This window comes from Homo sapiens, chromosome 7, assembly GCF_000001405.40.
Source record: "Homo sapiens chromosome 7, GRCh38.p14 Primary Assembly".
NCBI lineage: Eukaryota > Metazoa > Chordata > Mammalia > Primates > Hominidae > Homo > Homo sapiens.
The window spans coordinates 67,407,234-67,419,667 of record NC_000007.14 but is presented as its reverse complement, the minus strand read 5'-3'; the positions used below and the strand labels follow the sequence as shown (position 1 = coordinate 67,419,667).

The 12,434-nt window shown below is 47.4% G+C and overlaps 1 annotated feature.

Annotated features, from left to right (window-relative positions):
• Positions 5,307-5,995: an enhancer, noted in NCBI's record as "OCT4-NANOG hESC enhancer chr7:66878660-66879348 (GRCh37/hg19 assembly coordinates)". NCBI's record gives its function as "activates a minimal SCP1, AML or CMV promoter by ChIP-STARR-seq in naive and primed H9 embryonic stem cells {active_cell/tissue: H9 hESC(naive and primed)}" and the evidence as "EXISTENCE:reporter gene assay evidence [ECO:0000049][PMID:30033119]".

Sequence of the window (12,434 nt, the reverse complement as noted above, 5' to 3'; positions counted from 1 at the left end):
GGCCAGGCTGGTCTCAAACTCCTGATCTCAAATGATCTGCCCACCTTAGCCTCCCAAACTGCTGGGATTACAGGCGTGAGCCACCGTGCCCAGCCCCTCTAACCACTTTTTACCAAGTTTATCAGCAGAACTCAGACAGACATTACCAACCACTCAAATTATTGCCTGATTCAGGCTTCCCGCTAGGCTGAGCTCGAGAGCCCTTCTGAAGTTTGTGGCCGGCTGTTTCTGCCATTCTCTACGTCTTTGCCATCCTTGACCACAGCCCACATGCCAGCCTCCCCCACCACCCACCCCTACCCAGGGTCCTTCTCCTAATGACCCACCCTCCCAATCTCTGGAGTTTTTGTGATGAGAAAAATTTGCTTCCCTAGACCCTCTGTTTCTTCACAAAATGCCGTTTCCCTCTTCCCTAAACTTTAACCCCAGGTACTGGAAAGAGTTTCCATAATGGAGTGGCCAGTGGTAACAAATGGTCCCAAGAGACTAAATAAGATAAGGACAGAACATTACTCTTGGGATTTAACAATAACGAGGCCATTGGAGGTCTCGGTGGAGACACTCTTGGTAGGTCATAGTAAGAAGAAACCAGATTGTAGCAGGCTGAGTTGTGGGTGGGAGATGAGAAAAAGAGGAGAAGTGTGGACAATGCTTTCCAGAAGTTTAATGAGAAGGAAGGAGAGAAAGGGTGACAGATGGATGGGATCAAAGAGCCTAGCAGAAGACACAGATGGAAAGCCACCTTAGAGAGACCTCTGTACCTTGAGAAATGTGCTCTCTAACCCTGTAACAATTTAATCTATTGGTGCATAGACTGACATATGCTACACGTTATTACTTAAAGAAACCTTATCTATCGGCCGGGCATGGCGGCTCATGCCTATAATCCCAGCACTTTGGGAGGCCGAGGCGGGTGGATTACCTGAGGTCAGGAGTTTGAGACCAGCCTGACCAACATGGTGAAACCCCATCTCTACTAAAAATACAAAAGTTAGCAGGACATGGTGGTGCATGCCTATAATCCCAGCTACTCAGGAGGCTGAGGCAGGAGAAGCACTGGAACCTTGGAGGCAGAGGTTGCAGTGATGGCGCCACTGCATTCCAGCCTGGACGACAGAGTGAGACTCCATCTCAATTAAAAAAAAAAAAAAAAGAAAAGAAACTTTATCTATCTAGCCTAGCACACTCACTTTACAGATGAGAAAACTCAAGACCAGAGAGGTCAACTATCCTACCCAAGGTCACCTAGCATCTGAGTGGCAAAATCAAGAATGGGTTCCCCGGTCTTTTCCTCCTCTGAACTTGGTTATGCTCCAAGTGCAGTGCAAATCAAATTCCCTGACGTAAGATAATATCATGCGTGTCTAGGGCATCGTAAACATGGGTAGGTCCGCCGAGGCCCTATTTGCACTGGGAGAGGAATGCTCCCAGCACAATGAGCTTGAGTCTGCAGAAGGAAGCCATAACTCAGAGGGTGGCATGGTGGCCGTGTGACACAGAACCCAGCTGGTCCTGCAAAGTCACATCTGAGTCTTCTGCAGGCAAAGCAGATCTCCATAAAACCCAAATGAGTTGTTTCTATGAAATTCTGCTATGACCTTGGAGCACCAGCCTCATCTTATGGTGACCCTCACCCACTACCAGAGGGTCATGAAGAAAATAGGGGGTGTTCTGCAACCCTCACCACACCTCATGACATCCCACTGCTCTGGGCCATGAAGCAAGAGGCAGAGCAGGGTGGAGCTGCATGGCCAGCTATTGATGGAGAAGCCACAGAGCCTGCGGAGCCTCTATGCCCAGTAGGTCTCCGTGGGGATGTATCCCAGGCAACGTGGCAGTGCCCAGCGAGGGACAGTGAGCAGTGGCCAGGCCTGTCAAGACCATATTTATGAGCCCATGTGAGATACCCCTGAGGGCTCCAGAACCACATGGGGAGAAGTGCTTTGCAGGGAACTTGAGCTCCCACATCTGCAGGTCATACACCAGCAAGAGCTGGAGAGACTTTGAAAGCCATGAGAGCTGTGGAAACTCACGTTGCAAGTAAAAGGTTGATGGAAAAATTATCTCCCTATATCTATGGACATGTCCATTTTCACTATGTCCACACAGTTACTTGTGCAATTCCCGGAACACCCCTCTTCTCTCCTTGCAGCTATCCACAGCCTCTCATTGCCAAGGCCAAGCCAAGTCCCCCCCCACAAGAACTCCTGTCCCCATTTCTCTCTCCTTCTTCTGAGGTCTTGAACTCACAGCATCACCCAGAGGACCTGCCTTAGCCAGTTCACACTGCTGTAACAAGAACATCATAGACTAGGTGGCTTATAAACAACAGAGATGTGTTTCTCACAGTCTTGAAGTCTGGAAGTCCAGGATCAGAAGGCTAGCATGGCCATGTTCTGATGAGGACTCTCTTCCCAGTTGCAGATAGGGTTGATCTCTGGCTGTTTCTTATAAGGGCATTAATCCCATTTGTGAGGGCTCCATCCTCATGACCTAATCACCTGCCAAAGTCTCTGCCTCCTAATACCATCACATCAAGGTTAGGGTTTCAATATATACATTTTGGGGAAACACAAACATTTAGTCAATAATAGGAGTCTTTTCTTTCTTTTTTGAGACAGTCTGCTCTGCCACCCAGGCTGGAGTGCAGTGGTGCAATCTCAGGTCACTACAACCTCTGCCTCCTGGGTTCAAACAATTATCCTGCCTCAGCCTCCCAAGTAGCTAGGATTACAGGTGAGCACCATGATGCTGGCTAATTTTAATATTTTTAGTAGAGATGGGATTTCACCATGTTGTCCAGGCTGGTCTCGAATTCCTGACCTCAGGTGATCTGTCCACCTCAGCCTCCCAAAGTGCTGGGATTACAGGCATGAGCCACTGTGCCCGGCCAATAGGAGCCTTTTCTTGGTCTCTCGCTTTGGTGGCGAGATTTCCTTCCCCTGCTAGCTGGAAAAGCCAGGACATCCTCCTCTGCCCCTAACACAGTGTCAGGCATCCAAGGACCCTCCATGAGCCCACTCTAGTCCACCTGCTTCACCAGGGCAAGCCACCAAGGAAGGTGCCACTTAAAATAGGGCCAATTAAGAAGAAGCTGTGGGTCTCCATGGAGACAATTTCTGCCAGCCTCCCACTGCACAAAGAGTTTTCCCATAGCCACTTCCGAGTGTGAAATCAAACCCTGGTCTACGCCCTGCTGGGACAAGAAGTACAGCTGTCATTAAATTGTCAGGGTCTCTGTGGCTTCTTCTTATTGTCTCTCTCCCAACAGTGCTGTTATGGGCCAAATTCTGTGCCTCCCACCAACAATGCACAGGTTGAAATCTAAACCCCAAGTACCTCAAAATGTGACTATGTTTGGAGATAGGGTCTTTAAAGAGCTAATTAAGTTAAAATGAGGTAATTGGTGATTGAGTTAAAATAAGGTCCCTATAAGAAGAGGAAATTTGAAACCACAATGAGAAACCATCTCATACCAGTCAGAATGGCTATTATTAAAGTGTCAAAAAAATGACAGACGCTGGTGAGGTTGAGGAGTAAAGGGAACGCTGATACATTGCTGGTGGGAGTGTTAATTAGTTCAACCACTGTGGAATGCAGTGTGGTGATTCCTCAAAGAGCTAAAAACAGAACTGCCATTTGACCCAGCAATCCCATTACTGGGTATATACCCAAAGAAGTATAAATCGTTCTATTATAAAGACACATGCACACATATGTTTGTTGCAGCACTATTGACAATAGCAAAGACATGGAATCAACCTAAATGCCCATCAATGACAGGATAAAGAAAGAAAATGTGGTACATACACACCATGAAATACTATGCAGCCATAAAAAAGAATGAGATCATGTCCTTTAGAGGAACATGGATGGAGCTGCAGGCCATCATCGTTAGCAAACTAATGCAGGAACAGAAAACCAAATACCACATGTTCTCACTTATAAGTGAGAGCTAAACAATGAGAACACATGGGCACAAAGAGGGGAACAACACGCACTGGGGCCTACTCTAGGGTGGAGGGTGAGTGGAGGGAGAGGATCAGAAAAAAATAACTATTGGGTACTAGGCTTATACCTGGGTGATGAAATAATCTGTACAACAAACTCCCATGACATGAGTTTACCTATATAACAAACCCTGAGCCTAAAATAAAAGTTAAAAAAAAAAAATCAATGAGTCAGAAAAAAAGAAAAGAAGAGGAAATTTGGACATAGAACAATACACAGGGAAGACCACATGAGACAAAACAAAACCAACCCTGCTGATGTCTTGGTCTCAGACTTTCAGCCTCCAAAACTAAAAGAAAATAAATTTCTGTTGCTTAAGCCATCCAGTCTGTGGCACTTTGTTGCTATGGCCTGAATGTTTGTGTCACCCCCAGAATTCATGCTGAAATTCGCACCCCAAGGTGACGGTATTAGGAGATGAGGCCTTTGGGAGGTGATTAGGTCACGGGGGTGGAGGCTTCATGAATGGGATTACGGCCTTTATAAAAGAGACCTGAGAGAGAACCCTTGCCTTTTTCATTATGTGAGGACACAGCAAGAATTTGCTGTCTATGAACCGGAAACCCGTCCCTCATCAGATGCTAAATCTGTTGGTGCCGTGCTCTTGGACTTCCCAGCCTCCAGAACCATGAGAAATAAATTTCTGGCATTTGTAAGCTACCTAGTCTATGGCATTTTTGTTACTGTACCCCAAATGGACTGACACTTGTACTGGCAGCCCCAGCAAACTAACACACTGGCTGTGTTGCCTCTGAGTGGCTTTTCCATTCCAGGTCAAAAATGAAAATGGCTATTTGCAAAGGGCCTTTATTCTCCTCTCTTGGGGGCATTGCTTTCCCTGCTGGGATTTTTATTCTTTTTTATTTTTATTTTTTTTCTGAGATGGAGTTTTGCTCCTGTTGTCCCGGCTGGAGTGCAATGGAGCTATCTCAGCTCACTGCAACCTCCACCTCCCGAGTTCAAGTGACTCTCCTGCCTCTGCCTCCTGAGTAGCTGGGATTACAGGTGCCCACTACCATGCTCAGCTAATTTTTGTATTTTTAGTAGAGATGGGGTTTCACCATGTTAGCCAAGCTAATCTCAAACTCTGGACCTCAGGTAAGCCACCTGCCTCGGCCTCCCAAAGTGCTGGGATTACAGGTGTGAGCCACCACACCCAGCCTTGAAGGTATGCATCATTCTCAGCCTCCATGAATACATGGCCCCAGAAAAGGAGTATTGGGATGAGGGACATGAATGTGCAGGTCTCTAAAAGCTACTTACCCCCATTCCACCCGCCCCTTAGAATCACACACGAGCCAGCCCCTCCTGTCTGCTCTGCCTGCCACAGGTCCCACTTAGACCAGGTATACCAAAATTGCAAAACTTCCTTCTTCTCTCCTGCATCCCCTAGCCTCTCTCTGTTGCATTCTGAATTCTCTCCAGGAGCCTAAGTACGAACGAGTAGGAAGGATCAAGGGCAATTCACCAGGAAATCTACAAGGGATTCTCTAAATGTTGATGAAGCTGCGGCTCATCCACTGTGTTGAACTTTGATTTATTATCATTTTAATATCTCAGCAAGTGAAGGGCACCCTCATAAAGCATTATCACAGCCTTTAAATGGAGAGAAATTGTTTCCCTTGTGCCAGGGCAATGAAACTGTGGTATCGTGATCTGCAGTCCAAGAGGAAATCTTCAGCAGAGGTTAAGAGCATAAATACAAATTGAGTCAGGTTCTTTTCTAGCCTGCTGAGCAAACCACTTCACGGCCATTAACATGGCAATATTTAAATAGACTTGCCTTCCATTGAGAGAGGGAGCTGGAGAGAGTATCTGCTTGCAGCAGGTGGGTGGATGGGATTGTGGGATAAGGACGTAATGCCATGCAGGTGTTTCCAAGGAGCCCTGGCTGCAGGCTATGCAGGGTCCACATTGCCATTCAACTTCTGTCTCTGCCCACAGCTGCTTCTTCCCCATTCCTCTTGCACAGGTGTGATCCCTATAAACATTTTGCACTCCAAATTCCATCTTAGCATCTGCTCCTGCAAAATGAGACAGGTTGAGAAGGAGCTGGGAGCCACAGCTGGCCCTGCCCAGCTCAGGCTTGGGGACGGGGTATATTCAGGGAAGTGAGTCTGATCTGCCCTGGAGGGGGTCAACATCTTGCCTATACTTGAATGACACCAAGAAATACCCAAGACATATAAGCCTTACCAATAGAGAGGAGTGTCTGAACTTCACATGAGCTGTTGACCATCCCACATCAGATGTTGGGAGTGAGAAAGAGAGATGACAAATCAGAATTGCCAGAAGAAAAGCTGGCTGGGAGGGGAAGGAGGTGAATTCAGTTCTGACTATATTGATTCCAGTGAGATCTGAATTGGAGGGAAGAGAGAAGAGCAAAAGTCTAGGAGGTGGAGAATAAATGGACCCAGAACTCTGAGCAGCAATCTGTCCCAGAGATATACACCTGGCAGCCATTAGCACATTCATGACGCAGCTGAGAACATCTGCACCCAGGTGTTCAGGGAGTTAGCAGAAGGAGAGAAGAGGAGCCCCAAAGACAGGGCACAAAGAATAAGGATAAATTGCTTCCAACCATGAGGCTATGGAAACATGGAGAAAAAGGAAATCCCTATAGATGGGAGTGGTTATCCAAGAGTTCCCCAAAGAGATGGACCTTGAGATGAGCCTGGAGGAAGAGGTAGGCAGAGACCATGGTTACATGATAACAAAGTAGGTGTAGTCAAGAGGTGAGGATGGAAGACACAGGAAAGAAAAGAATATTCAGTGGTGTTGGCCACTCACTGCTCTGTGACCTTGGATGTCATATCACTGAGTCTGACTCTTCCTCTATAAAAGAAAGTCACAGATGACTTCCCTGCAGATTGTTTTATGGATTCAAGGTAATAAGAGGAAAGTGTTTGACACAGTGTCTGTCAGCTAGTAGGTTCTAAACAAGCCATAATTATTTTTTATGAATGGGATATCCTGCTTGTTACAATGCAGCAGCAGATACAGTGGCTTCTTGTTAAAAGAATTTTCCAGGCCGGGCGCGGTGGCTCACACCTGTAATCCCAGCACTTTGGAAGGCCGAGGCGGGCGGATCACAAGGTCAGGAGTTCGAGACCAGCCTGACCAACATGGTGGAACCCCGTCTCTACTAAAAATACGAAAATTAGCCGGGCGTGGTGGTGAGCACCTGTAATCCCAGCTTCTCAGGAGGCTGAGGCAGGAAAATCGCTTGAACCCAGGAGACGAAGGTTGCAGTGAACCGAGATCGTGCCACTGCACTCCAGCCTGGGAAACAGAGCGAGACTTCGTCTCAAAAAAAAAAAAAAAAGAATTTTCCAAGAACAGAACTATGACTCACCATATCAGCTTAAACCTTTTGAGTTGGCAATCTCTCGAAAGCGCAATCTGAAGTGCATTCGGATGTTTAAGGGACTGTGATTTGATCTGTGAGACATGCAGACAGATTAATAAAGCCATGGCCACATAAAGGGACTGCTCCAGTGCAACTGTGTGACAAACACCACCCACCATCTGCAGCCCACAGAGGCAGCCCACCATCTCAGAAAGCAAGACTCATGTATGCAAGGTTATGGGGTGCCAGATGCCTCTAATTCTGTATTTCATTTTGTTCTCAAGACACCCTTGCTGAGCAACTGATATCCTTCTTGTTTTTACAGATGAGGAAATTGGAGCTCAGAGACATTAAAAACCCTGCCCAGGGGTCACACAGCAGCAGGGGGTGGGACTGGATTTGAACTCGCCTGTCTGAACTTGGGGCTCTGACATTCCACCCCATTGCAAAGTTTTCCAAACTCTCTGCCACTTGTCTTGCAATGACCACGGTATACTAAGCCCTTCCCCTTGCTTGCTTGCTTTCCTTCTGTATTAGCCAGGGTTCTCTAGAGGGATAGAACTAATAGGATATATGTATATATAAAAAGGGAGTTTATTAAGGAGTATTGACTCTCACGATCACAGGGTGAGGTCCCATGATAAGCTATCTGCAAGCTGAGGAGCAAGGAAGCCAGTCCGAGTCCCAAAGCTGAAGAACTTGGAGTCTGATGTTCAAGGGCAGGAAGCATCCAGCATGGGAGAAAGATGTAGGTGAAAAGACTAAGCCAGTCTAGTCTTTCCACTTTCCTTCTTTTTTTTTTTTTTTTTTTTTTTTGAGATGGAGTCTTACTCTATTGCCCAGGCATGAGTGCAGTGCTGCAATCTTGGCTCACTGCAACCTCCACCTCCCGGGTTCAAGCAATTCTCCTGCCTCAGCCTCCTGAGTAGTTGGGATTACAGATGCCTGCCACCACGCTCAGCTAATTTTTGTATTTTTAGTAGAGGTGGGCTTTCACCATGTTGGCCAGGCTGGTCTCGAACTCCTGACCTCAGGTGATCCACCCCCACCCCCTCGGCCTCCCAAAGAGCTAGGATTACCGGCATAAGCCACCACGTCTGGCCTGTCTTTCCACCTTCTGCCTGCTTTTTTGCAGGCCCTGCTGGCTTCTGATTAGATGGTGCCCACCCAGATTGAGGGTGGATCTGCCTTTCCCAGCCCACTGACTCAAATGTTAATCTCCTTTGGCAACACCCTCACAGACACACCCAGGAACAATACTTTGTATCCTTCAATCCAATCAAGTTGACACTCAATATTAACCATCACACCTTCCCAGAAACACTTCATCATCTCCCTTCTGTCTCAGTTGGTTCAGGTGTTATGACAAAAATACCATAGACTTGGTAGATTATAAATAATATGAATGTGTTGCTCATGGTTCTGGAGGCTGCCAAGTCCAAGATCAAGACACCAGCAGATTTGGTGTCGGGTGAGGGCCCACTTCCTAGTTCCTAGATGGTACCTCCTTGCTGTGTCCTCAAAAGGGGCAAAGCAGCTCTCTGGGGACTGTTTTAGAAGGGCAGTCATCCCATTCATGAGGGTTCCACCCTCATGACCTAATCACCTCTCAGGAGCCTTGCCTCCTAAATACCATCACATTGGAGATTAGGTTTCAACATATACAATTTGGGGGAACACATATGTTCAGTCCATAACACCTTCTCGCCCTGAGTCCCTTTCCCACCCTCTCCCACTAAGTCCTCAAAGTCCTCTGAATCCTCCTCTTCTGGTTGCTCTAAAGCCACGTGGCCTTGCTGTGACCCATCATGACCCTCTGGCATGACCAGACAATTCCAGGTATGGGCTCCAAGGGATGCAGCATGCATAACTGTGATGAAGGCAGGACCACAGGTAGTCCATAGGGTACAACCCTGGTGCTTTGGGAGACTATGGCAGGAGGATAGCTTGATGCCAGTAGTTCAAGACTAACCCGGACAACATAATGAGACCCCATCTCTTAAAAAATAAAAAAATTAGTGGGACACGGTGGTGCACACCTATAGTCACAGCTACTTGGGAGGCTGAGGTGGGAGGGCTGCTTGAGACCAGGAGGAACGAGGTCTGCAATGAGCTATGACTGCACCACCATACTCCAGCCTGGCCAACAGAGTGAGACTCTAAGACTCTATCTGGAAAGAGGTGGGGGGAGGAAGGAAGGAGAGAGGGAGGGAGGGAGGGAAGGAAGGAAGGAAGGAAGGAAGGAAGGAAGGAAGGAAGGAAGGAAGGAAAGAAGGAAGGAAGGAAGGAAAGAAGGAAGGCAGAGAGGGAGGGAGGAGGGAGGGGAGGAGAGGAGAAATAAAGAGAAGAAACAAAAGAAAAAATAAAGAGAGAATAAGAAAAGAAGGAAGGAAGGAAAGAAAGAAAGAAAAGAAGAAAGAAGAAAGAAAGAAAGAAAGAAAGAGAGAGAGAGAGAGAAAGGAGGGAGGGAGGGAAGGAAGGAGAGAAAGAGAGAGAGAGGTGGCTCTCAGCTGGGCGCAGTGGCTCACGCCTGTAATCCCAGCACTTTGGGAGGCCAAGGTGGGTGGATCACCTGAGGTCAGGAGCCTGACCAACATGGTGAAACCCCGTCTCTATAAATAGAAAAAATTAGCTGGGCTTGTGGCGGCGGGCACCTGTATGTAATCCCAGCTGCTTGGGAGGTTGAGGTGGGAGAATTGCTTGAACCTGGGAGGCAGAGATTGCAGGGAGCCAAGATTGTGCCATTGTACTCCAGCCTGGGCAATAAGAGTGAAACTCCATCTCAAAAAAAAAAACAAGAAAGAGAGAAAGTAAGTAAAAGAAAAAGGTGGATCTCAGGACAGACATGGCCCCCATGAGGGTTCATGCTTTCCAGTTTCTGTGTCCCCACCCTTGGCAGGGCGCTTGCACTAAGGAATGAGTGACTGGTCTTAAGAGGCATTGTCAGGCCCTCTCTCCACGCCCTTGACCTTCAGAGGTTCCAGTCAGAGACCCCACAACACTGTATCCAGGGGGAAAAAAAAAAGGTAAGGTTTCAGGGAAGAGATTAATCAATCTTAAAATCCAAAAGCAGCAGACAGTCAAAGCAGCAAAACAAAAAAGAAAAAAAAATGAATATTTGGGCTAGAAACCTATTCCTCAGCACCAGAAAAAGAATTGCCTCTTCCAAGCCCCAACTGACAAGGAAATGGAGCGAAAGAGAGCCAGTCCACATTTGAAGTAAGCACCACATAAATCCCCACGTAAGAGCTGTCGGGTGTAAAGGTTAAGAATCATTTACTGCCAGAGAATGAGAAAAACTCTTACACTTTGGGACATTGACTTCTCCCTGGAACATCACGATGACAGGAACGTGGCTAGGTAGGTTCCCAACACGAACACATCTCGAAGCTTTCCCACGAACTTTGGCAGGTCAAAGAACTGTCCTCTATCTCCCTGTCCCCCAGACCACACTTTGTGGTTATTAAAAAGAGCTGGGTACAGTGATATACTTTGGATATTTGTCTCCACCCAAATCTCATGTTGAGTCGTAATCCCCAGTGTTGGAGGTGGGGCCTGGTGGGAGGTGATTGGATCATGTGGGTGGATTTCTCATGAATGGTTTAGCACCATCCCCTTGGTGCTGCCTTCATGATAATGAGTGAGTTCTCGCAAGATCTGGTCATTTTAAAGTGTGTGACTCTCTTGCTTTTGCTCCTACTATGTGAGATGTCTGCTCCTGCTTCAGCTTCTGCCATGACTGGAAGCTTCCTGAGGCCTCCCCAGAAGCTGATGCCAGAGCTATGCTTCCGGTACAGCCTGCAGAACCATGAATCAATTAAACCTCTTTTCTTTGTAAATTACTGAATCTCAAGCATTTATTTAAAAACAATGCAAGAATAATCTAACACAGCACTGTATTGAAAGAGACATCTGGCCACTTAAATGTCTCTTGCAGAAGCACAAGTCATTCCAAGGTTCTGGCATGGAGAGTGTATCAGTCAGTGTCAGGTAGGTTATGCTGCAGGAACAAACAACCCCCAAATCTCAGTGGCACAAAACAACAAACATTTGTTCTCTTTCTTGCTACACATTTAGCCAGGGTCAGCTATGTCACACTGCTTCCAGGCCCCAGGCCAATGGGGTAGCCAGCATTTCAAGCATTGCTGGTCACTGTGGCAGAGAAAAAGAAGTGGGCAACACAGACACTGGCTCTTAAAGCATCTGCACACAAAACATTCACTCCCACTCCACTGGCCAAAACAAAACACATGAGCGAACCTCATTTCAAACTGGAGCAGAAGTGCAGAGGAGAGAGAGCCATTTATGAACAGCCCTGATGCCTAGAGGGAGAGAATATGATGAAAGAAAAAGACAGGGGAGGGGAGGAGAGAGGGGAGGGAACACAGAAGGAGAAGGAAGTGGGAGGGAGGGGAGGAGGGATGAGGAAGGGGAGACAGGAGGGACACTCAGAGGAGGGGAGAGGAGAGGAATGCCCAGTTGCCTGAGGCTAAGGTGTCCTCTAGAAAGCCCCTGGATGCTTGAGAACATGTTTGGCTTCTTTGATTAGAGAAAGAGCTTCAGGAAGGTTCTTCTGTCTTCCCTCTTTCTGAGGAGGGAGGGTCCCCCGCCACAGGCTGCCACCCCGATCATTCTGTCTGATTCACCTTGCCTGTCTCCTCTCTCTCCCCAGAGGCCCCTTTAGCCCACTGAATGGCTTTCTGGGAAATCTCATTTCGCACCCTGGCAGCATTCTCAATTCTTCCTGTCAGATCCTGGAGGCAGCCCTATAAATAAGGCCCGAATTCTTTATTGCTGGAGCCGGCAGAAGGCTTACACATGGGATGTCCTCACTCGCACGACAGTCGTATTTTCATAAAACCTATGCAGAGAGCTTTGTATGAAGAGGGATGGGTTGGGAGAGTGAAAACTCAAGCCTGTCTTTGCAGCCAAGGCCCCTCTCCCTTTGGGAAAGTCTCAGGCTAGCACAGAAGACTGGCAATAAAAAGAATTGTCAGTGACCTTGCCCACTTTCAGACAGATGGTTAAACAGTTGATGAATTCTAGGGCCTTCTCTGACATGTCTGGCCTTGTC